We start from the raw sequence: 23,870 nt of genomic DNA, 5'->3' as shown, positions 1-23,870 counted from the left end.
TCAGTGCTCACTATCCTCATGGGGTCAGCCCAGATTGATTTAGTGATTAACTCCAACATTTTTCTGGCTTCTCCACTGTACCAGCACATTTCAGTTTTCTAAATATAGGTCAGCCCAGGCAATTAGGAGAGAACTTCTGTTTTTCAAAGGTATTCAGCAGGCAGGAAGCCCAGTTTACAAATGAGTGATCATGTGTACGATGGTTGGCCTCAGATGACTTGATGGACAGGGGCTGCTATCTCCTCAGCTACTGTATTTAAACATGTTGGGATGTATGAAAAGCTTCTGCACTTCTTACTCCAAAGATCATCTTAACCATAAGAGACTTTATCATCCAAAAAGGCATTTGTCAGTGATCTTATCACCTCCATTTTATGTTGTCAGTTTTGTGGTCTTGCTGTTCTTGTTGTGTAGGAAATGAACTGGTCCCACTTACCAGCCCACCATTGGTAACTTGATCAGTGAAGGTTTTCATTTAGCCTTCACCTAACTCTATACCCTTCTCTCAGTAATGTCTAAGCTGGGAAATTGATCACACTGCCCCAGGAGGCTAGAAATGATAACGTAGCATTGGCTGTGGGTAGAACATTGGCCACCGCATGAAGCCAACATTCTGCATAAACCATCTGATTCCCTGTGGGAGGGTCTAGCAGCCTGTCACTGCTGGGCCCAGAGGTAAATTGGCCTTGATCTTACACTCACAGAGAACCTCAAATATGGATTCTTGTCATCATCTCCAAGTGAGATGGCATATTCCATTTGGAGGCATGAAAAATATTCATGCGGGCCAGATGCAGTGGCTCACGCCTCCAATCCCAGCACTTTCGGAGGCCAAGGCAGGTGGATCATTTGAGGTCAGAAGTTTGAGACCAGCCTGGCCAACATGGTGAAACCATATCTCTACCAAAAAAAATACAAAAATCAGCTGAGTGTGGTGGCGGGCACCTGTAATCCCAGGTACATGGGAGGCTGAGGCAGGAGAATTGCTTGAACCTGGGAGCTGGATGTTACAGTGAGCCGAGATGGCACCACTGCACTCCAGCCTAGGCGACACAGCAAGACTCTGTCTCAAAACAAACAAAAAACAAGTATTCATGTGTTAAATGCAGATATTCAAATCACCACAATTTTTAAAACTCTGTTTTGATCTATATTGATTTTTTTAAGATATGAAGAACAAAGAACAAACTATTTGAGAACAGAAACAGACTGGGTTCTCTTGGGTTTGGAGCCACATATACACTCTAGGGCAGGAGAACAGTAGGTACGCAGTAGAACAGTAGGTACGCAGTAGAAACTTGGTAGAACCTAAAACCTCATTCCTTAATGTGTGGTCCACAGGTCGCGTCAGCGTCACCTGAGATTTTGTAAGAAATGCAGACTTGCGGGTTCCACTGAGCCAGAATCCGCATTTGAAGATCCCCAGGTAATTCCTGTCTGTTTCACAGTTGGCAAAACTTTCATTTAAAAGTCTGCCAAAGTTGTAGTCTGTGACTGTGTGGCTCTCCATGCACAGAGAAGCTAGGCCTATGTGCTTTTCCTGCCAGGATGCTGAACTGTACCCTCTCCAAAGAGGAAGTGGCCTATAACATAAAATATTCTACCATCATGAGATGTTAACATATCAAAGCCAGCTTTTCTTTCTTCCTTTCCTGGGCACCTCGCCCACCGTAATGGATATAGCTGGCAAGTTAGAAATGCAGAAACTCCCAGGAACTTGGGGCACTACAAGGAAGCAGAAATTCCTGGGCATCGGTGAGTTTTGGCTTCAGGTCTGCTGATTGGTCTGAAGTTGCAGGGCTGATAACTAGGAAAATGCACACGGCCATGTGAGCGCTCGCTTCTGGATCAGCAAAGACATGTGAGTTAGTGAAATCTGGGAAGCAACTGATTGTTATTCCTAAGCTGCAGGGGTGTCTTTCTTCCTCATCTTTCTGACCATAACATCTCACTTTGGAAGTCATCTCTGGGCTATTTCTGAATCCACCGTCCTCTTTGCATGGACTGATTGCCCGGTATCTTACCAGGGCAATGACCACCTAACTGATGTTTGTGAACAGATTTCTGTTGCTCTCCTTCATAATGATGTATTGACCCAAACTTGGGCTTTCTTCTTATCTGACACCATTACCTAGTAAGAGACCCCTTCCTCCAGGCTCCCCTGGTGAATTGCTTCCGTCCTGAGGACTCTGAAATTGCCCAGCTTACACCCACCTTCCTCCCACCTGGCCACCCCGCCTCATGTTGGCAGCTCATGCCGCTGCTGTGAGGTGAGCTTGGCTCTTTCTCTCCGATCTTGGGCCATTTTTCCTAGGCTGCTTTTTTTTTTAATTTTTTATTTTATTTTATTTGTGGTCTCTGTCATTCTGCTGGGGCAAGGGGGTAAAGAGATCTGACAGTAAGTGCAGGGAAATGCTGAATCTGGAATCTATCTTCCAGACGGCACAAGAATAAAAATTCATAGCAGGACAGCAGCTACTGACATGCTCCCAAAGACATATTGCAGGTAGCATTATTTATTGTGGCAAGGAGTTCATAGAAGTGCTACCTCAAAGCACCCTGAGAGATCCTAAAAAGCCCATCTCCCATCAGGTGAGGCAGATTTATGGAGGCTGCTCTTAGAGAGGTCAGGCGGTGGGCTCAGGAAGCAGGCTCCTTACAGAACGCCTGGATTCCCTTAACATATTTAGTGCAGTTTGATTGGTTCAAAGGAGGGCTTGAGTCTGTAATGTTGGCCATAAAATTGCAGTGACATGCTGCTTTAGATAAGAGGGCTGGAGGAAGGGGGCAGGGATGCTGTGGGCACTAGAGCAGCCAACACAGGCGAGACGGGAGCATGCGCTCATATTTTAGGCTAATGTGCGGGGAGAGAGTGGGGGATGGGACCGGGCAGATTAATACTTGCACAAAGGAAAGCTGAATCCACCAGCCTGGACACAGCAGACAACCCTGCCTCTCTGCGCATAAGATCACGTGCACACAAACACACAGAGGCACGCGGGGACCTCAAGGTGCGTATGTCTCCACCCAGATAGAAACAGCATGGCAAAGCCCCGCCAGCCAGTTTGACCTCACTATTGTTCCAAAGTCACCCAGAGGAAGGGCTCTTTTCCCATGACCCCTGTGAACTTCATCAGGGGTCTCCCAGCTCTTCATCTGCCCTATTTACATGACATCATTTCTCATGCTGCTGGCTAACCAGCCTTGGAGGCACAAATTCCGACTCACACCCTGAACCTGGACACAGACCAGAAATGAGGCTCTTCTGCAAGCTCCGTGAGGCTGAGACTGGTGGGAGGCTGCCAGAGAAGGGCACTGAATTCCTCTCTTCCAGAATCAGTGACATCTATGCAGGACCAAGGGTAGAGCAGGTAACCTGAGGATACACAACACAGAGAGATGACTTTCCTACATTTCTTTTTTTTTTTTTTTTTTTTTTTTTTTCCACCTAGGGTTTTTGAACCTCCATCAGATTGGGTGAGCATCACTTAGTGATTCAGAGCCAATGTCTTCCAAATCAGTTTCTTAATCCTGGTCGGTTTCCACTGATCCTGTTTCGAGGGTGCCACATTTGTAGTCCAAATCGGTGGCCTCCTGTTGGTGGCTTGGTTAAGAGACTTAATTGCTGTCGACTTTCCACATCCAGGTTAGAGAGATGGAGTATATAAGGGAATGAGATGGCCATCTAAATAATTGAGGTGATTATCTTTTTCTGAATTATTCAGCTAGGACCTAAATTGTCCTATAAATTCATAGGAAGGTAGGTTTTTGGTTTGACTTATACAGATAATAGCTTTAATTCTTCACTCAAACCCAGAGATCCAGTTATAAAGTGACTTTTTCTCTTTTTGTTGAGACTGACATCATTGAGGCCGTTGGCTCCATCTGTTTTTAAATGAGTCTCCAACCAGGTGTCTTATTTGTGTGAGGTGTTTGGAATGTCCATGTCAATTGTAAGATCAGCCTCCGGAATGTGAATCATAGGAAGTAGGAGCATGAGAATTTTTATACATTGAAATGAGCCTTCTCTCATTATATTCTCATCAAAGTGGAGAAGCTGTTAACATTTTTCCATTGCTCGGCCCAACATAATGGCTCATACCTGTAATTCCAACTCTTTGGGAGGCTGAGATGGGAGAATTGCTTGGAGCTAGGAGTTCAAGACCAGCCTGGGCAACACAGCAAGACCCCATCCCTAATAAAATTTAAAACTTCACCAGGCATGGTGGTGTGTGCCTGTAGTCCTAGCTACTAGGGAGGCCGAGGTGGGAGGATCACTTGAGCCCAGGAGTTTAAGGCGACAGTGCACTATGATCACATCACTGTACTCCAGGCTGGGCAACAGAGCAAGATCCTGTCTCAAAAAAAAAAAAAGTCTCCATTGCTCTTTGCTGTTTCAGAATCCTGCCCATTTAGAGAGTCCCCTAATCATTTGCATACTCTGTTGATCTCTCCCATCCATGATTTTAAAAATGTAAACACCTGCCACAGTTTAATGCCACCTGCTCAAAGCAAATAGTCCAAGGCATTGCTGTTTTTCTATTTTGCCCTCAGTTCTAGCCTCCCTGCAAGCTCTGTCCTGAGGGATGTGGCCACTGACTTCTCCACAGCAAGGAGGATGCTCAGAGCCTCTGAATGCCACTGCTCAGATGGTCATCGTCACCCACCGGCCTTGACAGTCATTCCTCCAAGTACCACTGTTGACTCCCTGAGGTCCCACGCTTGACCTCATTAATACAAAAGGGGAGAAAGCTAAGTGAATGTTTTCACAGCCTCCTTTTTCTCCAGGCCAACTGGAGGTTATCAAGGCCAGAGGCTGCTCTCTAGTTCATAAACCTGTTAGGGTATTCGGAGTCATGATTCTCTTATTCAACTGTCTGTGCTTTTCCTTGGGACAACTAATCCCTCAGCGTGACTGGTGGAAGCCGCAGTATTGATTTCTGTGTCTCTCTAAACCTCAGTTGTGTTCAACGCTTGTTAGACATCTGAAGGAATATCCAGTGGGCTCTGGGGGCAATTTGAGAGCCAGTCTCAATAGGCTGCTCTTGAGAGAAGTTTCTGTAAGGTTGCTGGGCAAGCCAATTGAATGGATTTTTAAATGAGAGGGAGAGAGAGAGGAGAAAGGGAGGGGGAAGGAGGGGATGAGAGAGAAGAGAAAGAGAAGGGAGGAAGGGAAAAAGATACAAAGGAAAGAGAGAACCAAGACAGAGGAAAAATAGAAAGGGCATAGAAAGGGGGAAAAGAAAGAGAAAGGGAGCTTTCTTCTGCTAAGACAGATCTTGAAGGATTTCCATCTTCTGCTCCTTTTGTCTTCTGTCTCCCTTTGTTAATAAAAGGGGATTTTTTTTTTATTTTCCTGGTCAACACTACCTGGAATGAGAAGAGGGTGTCCCCGTGTGTGGCTGGTGCACAGGTTGGGGCGCACCTGCGTGGGTTTGTGGCTTGCATGGACTCTGTCGGGCCTTGTGGTTGCCGCAGCACCCACAGCCCTTGTCCAGGTTTCATCTCCGCTTCTTTGCAGAGGTAGGGGCTTGAGGATGCTCTTGCCGGATCAGATTGAAGCCGTAAGAAAGGCTTATGCACACTGCAAGATTCTCTTTAGTGTTAAGAGAATCTTAAATGAGTGCTTGTCACAAAAAAAAAAAAAAAGCTGGAATCAAGTTTCTTTTCCAAATATAATCATGAGGTGAAAGACTGGCTCATTGCATTAAGCCATGAGGGACTTGGCAATGATCTTTCTCTCTTTCTTGGTATCGGGACCTTGTTGAGGTGCCCACATTGCAAGGCCTCTAGGACTGTCTAGGCCAGTGGTTCTCAACTGGGGCTAATTTTGTATCCCCCTAACCCTGTCCAGAGGACATTTGGCAGTATCTGGAGATGTTTTTGATTGGCACGACTGATGGAGGTTCCAGTAGGCATCTGGAGGGTAGAGGCCAGGGTTGCTGCTAGAAATCCTACAATGCACAAGACAGCCCCTACAGTAAAAAATCATCCTGTCTGAAATGTCAGTAGATCCAAGATTGAGTGACCCTGATGTAAGCTCTGAAGAAGTTTGACTTCCCATTTTTTTCTGTCCTATTTGCTCCACACTTTTACCTCTAATCCTTCCTTCTTCCGCCAGAAACATGATAGTCACCTCTAGGAGGTTTCTTTAAAAATAAGAGAATAAAAAGGAAAGACAAAGGATGTCCTTATGTCCAGGCCACAACTGCCCAAGTCCTCCTAAACCAACCTCTGTAGGGATGGCCCCAAGAATTTCTATTTTGAAGTTATCCAAAGGACTCTGATACACAACCAGATTTGAGACTTCTGGAAAAAGATAGCTGGTCCCTTCAAGATGCCATCGAGTGTCCAGATGCTGAACATGTCCAGATTTCTTTCAGTGAGAAATCTATTTCCTGACTTCTAGAATTGGAGGAGGGTCCACCCATCTGACACAGCCCACAGCAATGCAGGCCGATCTTATCAGCTCTCCAACATCAGTCTCCTTCTCCACCAAAGATCAGAGACTGCTCCAGCATCAATGTGCTGGACACCTCCCAATGTCACAGCTTTCGGAACAGGTAAAGCCTGGACCACTGGTCTGCAAAGTCAAAGAGGACTAGGCTGGGCATGGTGGCTCATGCCTGTAATCCCAACACTTTGGGAGGCCAAGGTGGGCAGATCGCTTGAGGTCAGGAGTTCGAGACCAGCCTGGCCAACATGGCAAAACTCCGTCTCTACTAAAAATACAAAAATTAGCCGGGCATGGTGGCAGGCGCCTGTAATCCCAGCTTCGCGGGAGGCTGAGGCATGAGCATCACCTGAACCTGGGGAGCAGAGGTTGCAATAAGCCAAGATCACACCATTGCATTCCAGCCTGGGTGACAGAGTGAGATTCTGTCCAAAAAAAAAAAAAGTCAAGGAGCACTCTTGGCTGTTAGACTCCCAACATCCCGTATCCTGGCACACACGGCCACCTATGGGCCACACCTGCAGGACATCTTTATGCCTCAGTGTCCTCTAGGTAGAGTCCAGAGGGGCTGCTGAAGTGTTCACATGCTATTTGAAACACATCAAACCTCATCCTTATAATGGCCTCATGGAATCTTTATTTTCTATAATGGGGCATTTCAGGGAGTCCTTTTTTTTTTTTTTTTTTTTAAGAGACAGAGTCTCACTCTGTCACCCAGGCTAGTGTGCAGTGGGGCATTCTAGGTGACCACAGCCTTAAACTCCTGGGCTCAAGCCATCTGGGCTCAAGCCTCAGTCTCCTGAGTAGCTGAGACTACAGGTGCACACCACCATGCCCAGCTGATTAGTTTACTTTTTGTCCTTTGTCTTGCCAAGTAGCCCTTGGAGCACATTTGGGAAGGAACAGTAGCAAAGGAATCACACCAAACTTGTTAACTGAAAAAAGCCAAAGCAATTCATGGTACTATCCATCACAGTCAAAATAAAGTAGAGACTTCAGATGAGAACACAAATCATTCAGATTTGTAAAATGCTTTCTTTCTGCCACAGAAGAAAGAGAGAGATCATGAGACTACCCTAATTGTTTTTGGTAATTGTCATAGGTCTGCTTTGCTGGGCCAGTGGAGAATTGACTTAGAAGCATATAGCATGCTTCTCATTACCTTTTGTTTGCTTCCGTCAAATCCTGCAAACATGGTAGGCCCTATGATTTGCACGATGAAATATGGGGCATTTTGGGTAAATAAACAGGGCCAGTCAGCCTGCCCTTTGCGGGCCCAGGTCTCAGCCTGCTCCTCCTGGGCTGGGGCACGTTCTTGGTTTTCCTCTTCGTCTGCAGCATGGGCTCTTGCCTCTTCCTCATGATCATTACTTTTCCAGAGACTCAGGCCTGCCCCTCATCAAGATTTATATCGCCACATTCATTAGGTGATACAATACTGTCAACAGAATCAGCGGTGGCAGCGATGGCCTCATTATCTCAGTGGTTAACCCCTGCTTCCCCAGTGTTGGGCCCTGTCAGGGATTTTAAATTCAAATTAAATTTTAATGCAGCAGCTTTGATGTTGGAGGTAGAACTGCCTAGTCAGGAGGTGGCTGGGGATAGAGATTCTATTGTTACATTATTTCACCCTCTTATGAACTCCAAGCAAAATGTCCCTGGAAAATGCTTTTTCTCTTCTAGGGGCTGAACAGCAATGTTCGGATGCTATAACTTATTTCAATATCTGGCTGCAATAATAAATTAAGGAATGTTTGTTTCAAATGTATAGATTGTACTAGATTGTCTAAGGACTATTGTAGTAGGGCTCAGATGCTGTATGTGACTCTAGGGGCTGGTAACCGGACCCCAGTCTGTAAAATAATCATCATCATAATTTATATTTAGAGAGAAAATTAGTCAGTTTAGAGACTTTTTGACATTAGAAAGTAAGAACACCCTTTTCTGGAACTTCATCCCCTTGTAGTTCTCCCTGTCTGCACAGATACTGGTGTTGTTTGAGATCTTTAAGAAATACACATAGCTTTTGTTTTCATACATTTACAAACTGAAGTGAAATTGTTCTGACTGTATCCACAGCTCTGCAAAGTAGAGACCTTACCTTACGTCAGGCATCACTATCAGTAACGAAACAAATTTTCACTGTGGTAACTGACATATGGTAGGTATTCCTGGAATGTTAGTTTCTCTTTTGCTTACAGCATCTCCCTTCCCTGCCCCCATGCCTGTCTAAGTGGAGATTCTCAGTAAAAGCCCATCAGTTCGCATTGCTGAGCTCAGCCTCCATCCATTGGCCTCACAGTTAAGAGCATCACAGCTGGCCACTGCACCACTTGGTAAGGCCCAGAAGTCTAAAATATGCTCTGTGAGCTTTCTACCTTATTGCCCTCTACACAATCAACAACAGTCTCTCTTAAAATTGTTGATTAAAGAAGTGAAAAAAAAAAAAAAAACGACGACAACATAAATAGGTTGGGCGCAGTGGCTCACACCTGTAATCCCAGTACTTTGGGAGGCTGAGGTAGGCGGAGCACCTGAGGTCGGGAGTTCGAGACTGGTTTGACCAACATGGAGAAACCCCATCTCTACTAAAAATACAAAATTAGCCGGGCATGGTGGCACATACCTGTAATCCCAGCTACTCGGGAGGCTGAGGCAGGAGAATCGCTTGAACCTGGGAGGGGCGGAGGTTGCAGTGAGCTGAGATCAAGCTCCATATAAAAAAAAAAAAAAAAATTCTGATTTTTGTTGTTGTTGTTGTTAGAGACAGGGTCTTGCTCTCTCACTCAGGCTGGAATACAGTGACTCAATCATAGCTCACTGTAACCTCAAACTCCTAGACTCAAGCACTCCTCCTACCTCAGCCTCCCAGGTCGCTAGTATTATAGGCACATGCCACCATGCCTGGCTAATTGTTATTTATTTATTTTTTTTAGAGACAGGGTCTGGTTATGTTGCCCAGGCTGGTCTCAAATTCCTGGATTCAAGTGACCTTCCCCCCTCAGCCTCCCAAAGCACTGGGATTATAGGTGTCAGTCACCAAGCCTGGACAAAGTCTAATGTGAATTATGTTCTCATTATGTGCCAGGAACTGTGCTAAGTGCTATCTCATTTATTCAGCTGAACAACTCTACAAGATAAGGTTATTATCGCACAGACACTTTCCAGAGAAGAAATGGAGGCTCAGAGAGGTTCTATAACTTGCCCAAGGTCACGTAATAAAAGAACAGATTTGAACCTGGTCTCCCTATCTCCAAAGCTCATCAGCATTCTCCTTACACTCCTTCTTGTTTCTCTTTTAAAATGAGAAGTCCATGAGGTATCAGGGCTACATGTGTCCCGTTTGACTCCTGCATGCTAAAGCAAGCAGGTTGTGGATAGAAGGATTTGGCTTACTTCTACCTTTAATAGTTTATCCTACATTTACCAGGTCTACCTACTCAAGCTGCATTATAAATAAGACTAAAAATAGGGGTTGGATATTTGTTGTAAATATACATGTTTGTAGGGCTCCTACTGTGTCCATGTAAGATAACAGGGTTACCAGCTGTCTGGGGAAGGACAGTGCTTTTCAACACACATGTAGGTTTGTCCTAGAGTCAGTGGCTACAGCACCAGGAACATAAGAGGGCTCTTCATTATTAAACACGTGGGCTTTGAGACCTGGGTTTGCATCTTGGCTCCACCACTTGCGAGCTTGGCAACCTTGGTCAATTACTTAGCCTTTCTTAACCTCAGTTTCCATATCTTAAAAAATGGTTAATCATCATTCCTGCTGGCTCGGCGCAGTGGCTTATGCCTGTAATCCCAGCACTTTGGGAGGCCTAGGCGGGCGGATCACGAGGTCAGGGGATCGAGACCATCCTGGCTAACACGGTGAAACCCTGTCTCTACTAAAAATACAAAAAATTAGCCGGGCAGGGTGGTGGGCGCCTGTAGTCCCAGCTACTAGGGAGGCTGAGGCAGGAGAATGGCATGAACCTGGGAGGCAGAGTTGCAGTGAGCCGAGATAGCGCCACTGAACTCCAGCCTGGGTGACAGAAAGAGACTCCGTCTCAAAAAAAAAAAAAAAAAAATTCCTGCTTCACATGGCAATTATAAAGTAAATGAGAGGATGCTTCTGAAGCCCTTTGAATAGTAGATGGCCCATGATAGGTGCTTTATTGTCACTTTGTTATTGTTTATTCCCATTGTCATTGTCAATATCATTATTAGTAGTATTTGTCTTAGACAAATGAATGCAAAGAATCTACCTGTAACCATGATCAAATACGTAACTGCCTATCTTAGGTAACAGATCAAGGGGGTGAATTCTATTTATACATCTTTCTGAATAAGGGATTGGGGAATAGAGGAGTGAAAAGCAAGAAGGAAGCCATTAACGGAATTGTTGTCTAGTAAATTTGTTGGGCCTTGTAATGTACAAGTCAATCTTAAATATTGCTAAAAGAGAGTAATTTTCTAATTGTATTCACATAGATTATCACCATATTAGGACAGTACTGTCCTTGGATATATTTCCAGAGTGAGGCCTGGAAATGCTGCTGTTTAACATTCATTCCCCACATCAAGGGTATGGAAGGCCCATTAAAGTTCTCCCATCCTTCCTTCATGGAATTTATTTCTGCCATTTTCTTAATTCAGTTGTAACATTGCACTTACCCATTATCATACAAGGTCTTAGCTTGTAGTGATGTTTTTAAATGAGAGAGTTTGGACATTTTTATGCTTTTTCAGTTATGTATCTTAAATGAAATTTCATAAGCAGTTAGCTGTTAATATGAAACAATTGCCTACATTATTTCCAAACAGAATATGCAAAAGTCAGGACACGATGGTTTGAAACACAGACACACACACACACACACACACACACACACACACGGGATTGTAATGAAAGGGCTAGAACTGTGAATTTCCCTGGGGATGATGCATGGACTGTGGCTGAACCATTAGACCCCATCCAGGGAGCCAACAGTGGCTGGGGCACCATTCCTGCTGGTGCCATTGGAACTGGGGCAAGAGACACAGGTGGCTTTTCCACGGTAGGATTGGAGAAAGCTACTTCCTGCAGAGGAGGTGCCTGTTGGGTAAAGCCCAGCCAGAGATGTGGTCTCCCTCTGTCCCCTATTCTTCTTGCTTATGCATCTCTTCCATCCTTACCATCCCTTGTCCCCCCAGTCCCTTGACAAAGTGTGAAAGGGCAGCCACTGCCTTCTCATCCATCCCCTGTCCAGCCCAGGCCCCCACTCCCTTCTTTTTCCTGGTGACCCTCCATCAGGCGCTTCACAGCAGCTTCCCATCTGTGCCATTAACTGAAAATCAAATGGACTTGCTGACATCGTAAACGTTCTTACCCAGTTCTACAAATGGAAACCAGGCAACCCTAAAAATTCTGCAGATTGCGCATGCAAGAGGTTGTCAGTGTTCAGAAAGTGTGCTGAAATGTAGTTGGAGCTTAATTCTCAAAGCCAATGAGAAATGTTTAACAAATGCACAAATGCACAAATTAAACCTTTAAAAAATTCACACCTTACATTCGATACTCTTTCCAAACCAGCAAATGCCCAGCCACTACCAAGTTTCGTTTTCTAACACTAAACAGTGAGGAAACAGGACATTGGAAGAGGGAGAAGCAGAGATTCAAAATCGTCCCCCAACTGGCTCAGTGCTTGAAAAGTCAAGAGTTGGCCATTCAGGAAGAGCGTGGCTGTGGATGTTTGTTTGTTTGTTTCTTTTGAGACGGAGTCCTGCTCTGTCCCCCAGGCTGGAGTGCAGTGGCGCGATCTCAGCTCACTGCAAGCTCCGCCTCCCGGGTTCACGCCATTCTCCTGCCTCAGCCTCCCTAGTAGCTGAGACTACAGGCACCTGCCACCATGCCTGGCTAATTTTTTTTGTATTTTTAGTAAAGACTTGGTTTCACCTTGTTAGCCAGGATGGTCTCGATCTCCTGACCTCGTGATCCGCCCGTCTCGGCCTCCGAAAGTGCTGGGATTACAGGCGTGAGTCACCGCGCCCAGCCGTGGCTGTGGATGTTGAGACTAATATCCGTCCATGAAAGAAAACCGTAAGAATTCACATTTCTGCCTCTTCCATGGCCAATATGAGCTCTTCTGTTTTGTTTTTTGGTTTTTTTTTTTTTGAGATGGAGTCTTACTTTGTTGCCCAGGCCGGAGTGCAGTGGTACGGTCTTGGCTCACTGCAACCTCTGCCTCCCGGGTTCAAGTGATTCTCCTGCCTCAGCCACCCTGAGTAGCTGGAATTACAGGCACCCACAACCACACCCGGCAAATTTTTGTATTTTTAGTAGAGACAGGGTTTCACCATGTTGGCCAGGCTGGTCTCAAGCTCCTGACCTCAGGTGATCTGCCCATCTCGGCCTCCCGAAGTAATGGGATTACAGGCGTGAGCCACCTCGCCCAGCCCCCAGGCCTGTTTTTAAACTATGTTACTGAGCACCATCTTCTTGTATTCTACTGTCTCCAAAATAAGCACATTATCCAGCCCCCCACTTTATAGTTTTAAGAATCGTTGCTGTTGTTTGTAGAAAACTTCAATATGAACAGCATGTCCATCCTGGGGGAGAGGGGCTGCTTATCTTGGGAGAGGCTTTGAGGCTTAGCGTGATGTCTGTCGCCTGGCTGGTTTTATGATATTCCCAGATGTGGTTCTCAACCTTCTAGGCTAAGAAACCGATGACACCCACCTTCCAGGAATGGGACCTCCTCCTCTCAAGGACAGACTCACTTAACCACATTTGTGAAATAAAAAAGGACAGTTTACAAATGTATAGTACTGTATATATCCAATTGTCATAAATATCCCAACACAACAAGCTCTGTCACTAAAATCATAATCGAACTATAAATGTATTAATTTACAGCGAGAATAACTTTTCCAGAAACTAGATATTTCAGAGTTTCAATACTGAGCTTTGTGGTTTTTTTTTTTTTTTTTTTTTTTTTTTGGCATATTGACTTAGAAAGCCAAGGAATAATGCAAAGGTTTTCTAGTGAGCGTTGAATCTGATCAAAGTAAAACGGATGAAACAAATGTACAATGGAAGTTCTTGCCAATGACCCCAAATCCTCGAGGTCTTTGGACAACACTCACTGAATCTTTATCCACGTTGACTTTGCCAGTAATACTCCAATACTGCTTCAGCTCCAGTGAATGGTTCTTATTACCCACCTCCGTGAATCACCTTGCCCTGTGCTGCCCAACCCTGACCCACCATGCTTCTGATGGACACGTTCTTCTATTACATCCAACAGGCATGGCCATGCTGGCCTGGGCTTTAGTCTGTCTCTTTGAAGTGACTGTGCCCAGAAAGAGTTAAACTTCAAAATCCACACTCCTTTAATTCATTTTCCTCATTCCCAGATCCATGGGGGAATCTTCTCACTATTGTCTTCATGCACCAATAGCAGAAAATAGAGGAGAATAGAAGATAGTTAATTAAACTACAGGGACATTACAGGCACCAAAATCTTGAAAGTACCATTTATGATGATTCCTGGCTTTCATTTAAATTTGTAATCCCCTTCCTAGAAATTTCAATGGAAACTCCTAGTTCTCCTCCTGCAAATCAGTCAGTCTTTACCCTCTTGGTGTTGGGTGCTTCATGAAGGGCTTTGTGGAGTTATTTCCTGGTCTAGCGGGGTTCAGAGTCTCCTTCATAGCCTCTTTCCCAAACTTTTACCAGCTGTGACTCTGGTATTGCCCAGGTATTCTCTCTCAAAAATTCTAATCTTGCAGTGGTTTCTCACAGCTGCCTCTGATGTGATTCTTGTCCCCATCCCCATCTCCTCACGCAAACCTGTGTTCCTCTTCTGGTAGGTTGGTCTAAAACACACATCGCAGCCGGGTTTGAAGGTGGTTCTACCTTTAGACAAGCACAGTGTCTCTTCCCTTTTGTTTCAAGGCAGTTAGGACAAGCTCTCTCTGGAGGCCACTTGCCTCCATGGTAGATGCCATCTCTGAATCCCAGATGTGTTGACTTGGCTTCTTCCAAAACTGTCAGCAGACTGTCTACCTTCTTCAAAATGTAGGTCCCCTATGGAACATACCAGAAAGTTTCTGCTTCCAGCCCGAGGAATACCTCCTAGCTTTAGTCCATGAACAGAACAAAGATGACTGATGTGTCTTGGAATCAAGCCTACCTGGGCTCAAGAGGCCACCCCTCACCATGGCCTCAGGCTCTCCCTGGTGACCCATCAAGAACCCCATCCCCTTCTTATGCACCCCCTGAGGCCCGCTCCCGCCACACACACACACATCACACAGTAGGAAGCATTCGCACCAAGGGAAGAGCTGGGCAATTTCTCTTAGAAGCTTCAGGAAAATGTTTTACCTTAAGATTTGAAAGGAGCTGATGGACATAAAAGATCCTTTTTCAGGTGATTGTTCTGTTACCTCCAGAATTTACATATTTTGAGTTTTCATTTTAGCCTCCTAGAAGTGTTCTACTAAAATAAAACCTGGCATTTCTATAAAATAACTCACAATGTCAAGGGGTTCTAGATTTGGGCTGGAAGTTAAAGCCACAGAATGCTGCCATGGGCCATCACCCTGGAGTAGGGAATGTCAGAACTCCTTTGCAGGCTCTGAATGCCTTTACTTCAGGCCTGAGACATCCTAGCCATCACCCTGGAGAAATATCTATACCCACATGTCACACCCTGTGCTGTGCTCGGTAAAGGACACTAATCACAGCCAAGGTCATTAACCTGCCCTGATTCCACTTCTTTCTCTTGTTAATAATAAATTTCCTTCTGTCTTCTAACATGGGCAGTGTTTCCCTTTGATTTGTTTTATTTTTGCTTTTAGGGTTTCCTCCCCAATCTATACAACTATCTATAAGATAAGTAACATAATGAACTTGAACATGGTCTTACATGGCATCTCAGAACCTCACTAATATCAATACTTAGAAACTTCAGTTCCAGGCATGCCCTCTGCTTACCCAGAGGAGAGGTACAGAGAGCTCTATCCAGACCATTTCTACAAATGTAAATAAAACATTATCAAACAAAGACAAAAGTGAGATGCTTGCCAAGTGACTAGCACCCAGAAGTTCTTCCCAGAATATGTGGCATACTCAGAGACAGCCCCCAAGCCAGGCCCTATTAACCTTGGCAGTTTATATAGATCTCTCATGTAGAATGATCAAAAGCATCTTCTCAAAAGCCTATCCAGCCTTCTAGAAATGGCCATATGGCTCATGACAGGTTCTAGGTAATGCATATAGTTAAAGGTACCTGCCTATTCCTTCAGGGGCAATACACCTGCTTACCAGGTGCTAAGACCTCTTCTGGTGGCTGTCCATTACAGAGAGGGAGAGGCGAGAGAACAGATGCTGTTCACACTTCAGGCTTTCTAATCAGGGGTGAGCAGATGCTCTCCTGAGCAACTCCATGTTGAGATGTCATTAATGTAAAAATTAGTGTTTGTCTCTTTCTGCCAGAATGTGGGATTTACATGATCCTTCACACGTATCTCTGGAGGACTGGCGTATAATCTCATAACCAGCAAGGAGCCAATAAACCTTCATTCCAGAGAAAATGTTCAAGAACCTGGAAACTCCGAGAGCTTTTTTTCACTGGCAGCTCCCCGAATTCCTCACCCCTGCCTTCCCTTTGATGATGGCCATGGGCCCAGCTGTACCCTAGGCAGCCAGAGACATCAGTGGGGATGAAGATGGGGAAGGCCCGTGTCTAGGTGAACATATACAGAGCTGGTGTGGGGTTTGATTGTCAGGAAGCCTAAACCATGGGTACCGTTGGAAGGAGAATGGGATAACTCTACAGACACTGAGAGCACTTGGTCATCAGCTTCACAAACTGCACTTCTGTGCTGTGGGGTTTAGTTGGATTGGGTTTGTTGTGGCAGGCGAGGTCAACTTGATTGGCTAGAATGTGTTTCTAATGGTTTTACATCTTCTAAGCCCTCCTGATCTGCTGCAGATATCACCAGCCCTGGTCAGAAGGTTCTCATGATGTTTTTTCCCAAGGCCATGTTTTCTAGTTCTCTATGTTCTGCATTTCCCATTTGCTCCCAAAAGATCCTCATGGCTTTGCTCTGAATAGGAATTTATCCCACTAACCAAGGTTCCTTAATTCTACTCCCAACACAGCTAAGCCCCCAAGCTATCTGGGAACTTGAGAAATAGCCTGAGAGGCTGCTGGCTCTGCGAAGCACCTTAGTGGCTCTTTCCTCCTCTATCTACACTGAAACCCAAAAAGCACCAGGGAAGAGAGCAGGCTCCCAGTGAAAGACAAGCAGCTTTGTGACATGTAGCATAGTAGAAGAAACCCATCTCACCATTAGTCCCACACTCTGAGCCCACACCCAGTTGGGGTCCTTTTCCACCTCTCTTCCCTGTCCACCTCTATTCCTTCTGGAAACCTACTAGGCTGAAACCTACAAGTTAGGCTTCAGGCTTGGAACATTTTTAGCTGAGGACCCCATGGCATCCTCCTTCTGTTGCATTAAACAGGCCCCTGCCCACCCCAGGGCCTTTGCACAGGCTCTTCCCTCTTCCTAGAACACCTTTTCACCTGCTTCATGCCAACTCATCTTTTCCATCTCAGCTTTAGTGTGTTTTTTTCGAGGGGGCTTTCCTGACCTCCCAGATGAGCTTCCAGTCTCTCTCTCAGGTTCTCATGGTGCTGAACACTGCAGTTTTATACTCACTTCCCATCGTTTGGTTAGGGGCTGTCAGTTAGGGAATTCACGAAGCTATAATCTCCATCAGGGAAGGCACAGAGTCTATTTGGACTCCTTCCTGATTCCCCTGTGCCTAGCACTGGGGAATATGGCGAGCACTCAATGAATACTGTTTGAAACCTTGTGATTTACAGAAATGAGCTTATGTTCTTAGTTCGTATATAAATGTCTATATGTGTGTGTGTGTGTGTGTGTGTGTGTGTGTGTGTGGTTATTTCTCTCTAATTAATACCTATCACTTCCACATTATAATCTTCATATTGGAATTGAGGCTCAGAAACCACCTTTCCTCAGCACCCCTGAAGGGGGCATCCCAAAGGGGCCCCGGGTGACTTGACACAGGGGGCCTGGTGTGGACATCCCACCCAACAAGGCTTTCTGCAGATCCCCTTTCTCTCACACTCCCTCCTGGATTCCTGGTTTGTAGCCACATTTCGGTGCACCTGGTAGGGTCTCCTGCTCCCCTGGGGGCTCACCAGAATGGTAAATGGGTGGTTGTTTTGTCTCTTTAGCCACCACTGACCAGTAGGACCGAGACCAGCCACACTGGCTTTGCAGAGCGGGTGTACTAGGAAAGGATGATGCAGCTCCTGCTTGGGGATGGCACTCAAGGTGCCCTGGGGACATGGCTTGGATTGCCAGCCTAGGACCTCAGCTGTGGATTAGAGAGCAGTACCTCTGAGCTGCTGAGAAATGTTTCATGTGCCCCGTCCCCTCCTGTTAGAGATACATATCTGGGGCTCTTCACATGGCGTGCAAAGCCAGGTTTTTTCCCCACCTTGAAAACACACAGCTGGGCTTCCCTGAAGATGCTGTTTTGAGTCACCCTCTTACATCCCCACCAAAAGGGTAGAGTAATTGCTAATGAGGGAACCACCTACCTCCCCCCACCCTGCCCTTGCTCTGAATGGCTGGAGCAGGAACACACACATATAATGAGTTACAGGAGCTTTAAATCACCAACTAAAACCACACGCTCGATTTCCCCTTTGGAGGGATGTTCAGCCAGACAGCGGCATTTTCCTCCCCAGCCACACGGTTTTTAAATATTGCATTTCAAATAGGAACAGGCCAGCGATTGGAGGACCTCTCCCATTTTAGGAGAGGAGCCCCTCTTCAGTCCTGGCCTTCAGTTCATACACTTTCTGCTTTCCTTTGAAGGAGTAGGGTTGATTCAGTACTTTGGGGACTTGGTGACATTAATTTATCTGTTTTATGTAACACAAAGTCGTTATTAACAGCATCCTAGATCATAAAAAAGGTATAACAAGAGACAAAGAGGGTTTTTTTTCCCCTTGAAGATAATAGCAGTCTTGCTGAAGAAGAGAGGGGTCGCGGAGCCGCTCTCCGATTGGTGGCTTAGACCCCGCATTGACATTTCTGCAGTTTCATCAGAAATTCTAAATAATCCATGTGAAAACGGGCGGTTATTTACCGAAGATATACGCACTGCATGTGCCCGTAATGCACTGAAGACATAATCTTGGCTCTCGGAGCCGCCTTTTGTGTAGAGCGGCAGCAGCTGCTGCAGAAGCCTCAAACGAAGCAGTCCAAGACATCTGGGGGAAACTGAGTTTGGGGGCGACAAATAGGAGGGCTTGATAACAGGAACGTTAAAGAAATCCATCTCCGCTGCGGACAGCGTGGGGAGTTGCTAAGTTGGCACATCTGGACCAAGTCACAGAGCCTAGACGCACGGCCTTTTTGTTTTTCCAAGCTGGTTCTCATTTTCTGTAGGTGAAGAAAAGCGTCTTCAGCTATCAGTGCAGGGGCAGGTCTGTGCAATCTCGTCCCTTCCATTTTGTAAGTGCCCATCAGCAAGGAGGTCTCAGCACCTGGCCTTCCTTTTTCCTTTTTACGCTAATAGGACAGGATCGAGAAACAGAACCACATGGAGGGATGTCCAGCTTCTGTCTGGGACTGGGAGCCTGCAATCCCCTGGCCGGATTTTTATTTGAGAAATAATTCTGGCTGCTTTCATCTCCTTTTCCATCTCCTTCCCACCTCTCCACCCCAGCCCCCAAAGTCCCCCTTCTCTCCCTCCCTCCCTCCCTCCATGGGGTGACAGGCAAGAGAGGCTGATAAAGAGCCAGACCCCCACCCTCCTCCTTGGCTCCCTGCTGAGATGGAACGGCTAAGAGCAAATGTGCAGGGTCAGAGCATTAATGGGGGCACAGGCAGTCCATCTCCGCCGGCCCAGATGCTGGGGACGCTCTCTATCCTGTGAGAGGGAGGAACGGAGGGGACAGCAAGAAGGCTTGGAGGAGGGCTCCTCCTGAATGGGGATGTTTGTTTTCCTGGATTTTCATGAGCCTGCTGCCGGCTCACACCCACACAGCCGTACACCAACCCACACATCCACACACTGACCCACACAGCCACTCACCAACCCACACAGCCATACACTGACCCACACAGCCACACACTGACCCACACACCCACACACTTACCCACACACCCACACAGCCACTCACCAACCCACACAGCCACACACCGACCCACACAGCCACACACTGACCCACACAGCCACACAGCCACACACGCACACATCAACCCACATAGCCACTCACCAACCCACACAGCCACACACCAATCCACACAGCCACACACTGACCCACACACCCACACAGCCACTCACCAACCCATACAGCCACACACCGACCCACACAGCCACACACTGACCCACACACCCACACAGCCACACATGCACACATCACCCCACATAGCCACTCATCAACCCACACAGCCACACACCGACCCACACAGCCACACACCCACCACCCACACACTGGCCCACACACCCACACACCACCCCACACAGCCACACACCCACCACCCACACACTGGCCCACACACCCACCCACCGACCCACACAGCCACACACCCACCACCCACACACTGGCCCACACACCCACACACCACCCCACACAGCCACACACTGACCCACACACCCACACACTGGCCTACACACCCACACACCCATACACTGACCCACACAGCCACTCACCAACCCACACAGCCATACACTGACCACACACCCACACACTGGCCCACACAGCAACCCACACACTCACACAGCCACACACCAACCAACACACCGACACGCTGACCCACACTCACACAGCCACACACTTACCCACACACCCACACAGCCACACACTGGCCCGTACAGCCACACAGCAACCCACACACTCACACAGCCACATACAAACCCACATAGCCACACACTGACCCACACACCCACACGCTGACCCACACTCACACAGCCACACACTGGCCCACATAGCCACACACCAACCCACACAGCCACACATACCAACCCACACACCTACACAGCCACACACCAACCCACACACCCACACAACCACACACCCACACACCGACTCACCAGCCACACACCGACCCACACAGCCACACACCAACCCACACAGCCACAAACTGACCCACACAGCCACACACCAACCCACTTAGCCACACACCAACCCACACAGCCACACAGCCACACATGAACCCACACACCCACACACTCACACTCACACACCAACCCACACATCCACACAGCCACACACAAACCTATACACCCACACAGCTACACACAGACCCACACACCCACACAGCTACGCAGAGACCCACACAGCTACGCAGAGACCCACACAGCCACACACCAACGCACACACCCACACAGCCACACACCGACCCACACAGCCTTACCAAGGAGACCGGGGTCTGGAACACTCTTCCCGTACACCAACCACACAATTTGATTTCAAATCAAGTCTTGTACTTAAGGTCACAGCTTGAGGTATTTGAAGAACGTACTTGACTGGGGTTCACAGAGCCATTTCCCTAATTTGGGGCCGCCCAATCTATAGGGTTCTGAATTGTTGCTTTTCACAAGGTTACTTTGCTTGATGATTTTTGTGCAGCTTTGAAAATCAGGTTTATTCCTAACAGAGCTTTCCTCTGGGGCCGTTGTTCCATTACTGTTTTTATTATTTATTTGTATGGGTGTGACGTGCAGGAGGAGGGGGAGAGGGGCATGTGTGTGTGAGAGAGAGAGACAGAGAGAGAGAGGGAGGGAGAGACCATGGGAGCCGCGGAGGGAAGAATTGGTTGGCCCCGTCTAAAGCATTTGTATGAAGTCCCTTCCAGAAATGTGTTTACGTGACAGACTGTCTCAGATCCAGCCAGGCGGAGGCTGCTTTTCTGCGCATATTATGAATTCCAAAATGTATAATAAATACGCGTTTTACAAAAGCAATATGTGTTTTAAAATATAATATATGCAAACAATCTTATAAATCACCAGGCTTGACACTAGTCAGCCAGAGAGGCTTCTGGGGAAATGGTGTTGTGCGGAAGCGTGTGTTTTTAATAATGTAAAAATATGTGTAATATGTTTGAAAAACAACAGCCAAAAACCCCTTCTACCTGCCAACTTTACAATACTTATTTCCCCAGAGCCTGCTGTATCCTAGACTCTCAGAGAAATAACAGGGGGCTTAAATAAAAAGTGTAAATATGAGTAAGATGTGAAAGCTCCGCCCATCTTGGGATATATTTCCCTGACGGACATGACCAGCCGAGGCTTCATATGTCAAAAAATATGCATTTCATGGTCTTTACGCAGAGGTTTCTGTAATATTAGTACATGAGGCAGAGCCACAGATGGCAAGAGAGGGGAGAGTTTGGTCAGATCCCCCGTCCTGACACACCCCACAGAGCCTCATGCTGTCATGGTGTGTTAAGGGCTAAATGTCAACCCAGAGTATGAATTTTGTGCCCTTTGTCAGCTGACGACACCCTTTGGATTTTTTTCATGCCACTTTTAGCATTTAATGGTTTAATGGTGCTCTCCTGGTGTTAGGTAGTAATGGTCCCAATGGGATTTCTGACTCACACAATTACCCTCTACCGATCCCTTAATCTCTTCGAGTTGTTATGTGGACCTCATCGCCTTGTGGGCACTGCCTCACAGAGCATCGATATCCTAATCCTAATCCAGGGTTGTCTACCTCTCCTCCCACCCAACCAAAACTAGCAAAGAGAACCACCCTTTCTCAAGGGTTGCAACCAAGTTTTCAACACAGAATGAGGCCAGCTCCCAAATGAGGTAAAGCATGTTTGTAAAGAAGAATTCTTTTACACAGTGCAAACTGCTAGCCTGGGCAACAAAGGGAGACTCCTTCTCTACAAAAAAGAAAATTTTATAAAAGCATTAGCCAGGCGTGCTGGTGCAGGCCTGTAGACTCAGCTACTTGGGAGGCTGAGACAGGAGGATCCATTGAGCACAGGAGTTAAAGGTTACAGTGAGCTGATCACACCAGTGCTCTCCAGCCTGAGCAACAGGGAGAGACCGTGTCTTAAAAACAAAACAAAAACAAAGCACCCTGGGAAAAAAAAGAATATATGCCTATTTAGGTGAAGGGATATTCATTTCAGTGTTGGTCATAATATTGAAAAAATAGAAGCAAAGTAAACTCCCAAACAAGGGGAGACTCTTTGAATAAGTCATGGTACATCTGTGCAGTGGAATACTATGTGACCATTGCAAAAAACAAAAGCAAAACAAAACAAAAAAAACAGAGACTTATAAAAGTTTTCATGATATTCTCGTAAGAGCAAAAAGCAGTTTATAAAGCAGGCCAATTTGAGAGTATTTCATACTCGGTGACATATGTTATTGCTCTCATCTATTACTTACTGATGGCTGCAAAGTGCTACATATTCAATATGAGTCCATTTTAATTTTAGTGTTTTAGTTTATAATAATACATTTCACATATATTAATATTTTTATAGATTTATATTTTGAAGAATATATCTAGAAATGTTAGCGTTAGTCATCTTAGGATAGTGGATTCAGGATCATATTTATTTTCCTTCTTTTTTTTTTTTTTTTTTTTTTTGAGACAGAGTCTCACTCTGTTGCCCAGGCTGGAGTGCAGTGGCACAATCTCATCTCACTGCAACCTCTGCCCTCCGAGTTCAAGCAGTTCTCCCGCCTTAGCCTCCTGTGTAGCTGGGATCACAGGCGCCTGCCCCCGTGCCCAGCTAATTTTTGTATTTTTAGTAGAGGTGGGGTTTCACCATCTTGTCCAGGCTGGTCTTGAACTCTTGACCTCATGATCCACCCGCCTCGGCCCCCCAAAGTGCTGGGGTTACAGGCGTGAGCCACCGCGCCTGGCCAGGATCATATTTATTTTCTTCTCTTTGCCTATCCGCATTTGTTTCTGCAGTGAATAAAAACTGTTTTTTAAAATAAGAGGGCTTTTTTGAGACAGGGTCTCACTCTGTTTCCCAGGCTGGAGTGCAGTGGTACGATCATATCTCATTGCGAATTCGAACTCCTGGGCTCAAGTGAGCCTCCTGCCTCTGCCCCTGGAGTAGCTGGGATGACAACCATGCACCACCAGGCCTGGCTAATTTTCTTCTTTCACTTTTAGTAGAGATAATGTCTCACTATGTTGCCCAGGCTGGTAATAAGAATTTTAAAATGTATTTTTAAAGTATTTTCGTGGCCTAGAAAAATAAGCTGACACTTAAATGTTTAAGTCTACCATGTTCGTAAAAGAAATCAGGCAGTAGGAGCAGTACTAAGTCAGCAGGTGTCATTACAACATGCCTGTGACCTCTTACTCCATTAGGGAACTTTCATTGGTGGATGTCCATGTTTTCTTATTATCTG

At 46.2% G+C, this 23,870-nt stretch overlaps 1 protein-coding gene across 1 annotated transcript in view, besides 2 other annotated features; it reads left to right on the top strand.

The window, feature by feature from the left end:
• Positions 1-23,870, top strand: part of ZFHX3 (zinc finger homeobox 3) — a 1,109,046-nt gene that overhangs the window by 584,523 nt on the left and 500,653 nt on the right. The window lies entirely within an intron of this gene.
• Positions 144-193: an enhancer, noted in NCBI's record as "active region_11105". NCBI's record gives its function as "activates an Ori minimal core promoter by ATAC-STARR-seq in GM12878 lymphoblastoid cells {active_cell/tissue: GM12878}" and the evidence as "EXISTENCE:reporter gene assay evidence [ECO:0000049][PMID:35858748]".
• Positions 17,863-18,152: an enhancer, noted in NCBI's record as "active region_11104". NCBI's record gives its function as "activates an Ori minimal core promoter by ATAC-STARR-seq in GM12878 lymphoblastoid cells {active_cell/tissue: GM12878}" and the evidence as "EXISTENCE:reporter gene assay evidence [ECO:0000049][PMID:35858748]".

Source organism: Homo sapiens, chromosome 16, assembly GCF_000001405.40.
Source record: "Homo sapiens chromosome 16, GRCh38.p14 Primary Assembly".
Classification (NCBI taxonomy): Eukaryota; Metazoa; Chordata; class Mammalia; order Primates; family Hominidae; genus Homo; species Homo sapiens.
Note: the sequence above shows the minus strand (reverse complement) of the source record. Positions and strands in the feature narration are given on the sequence as shown.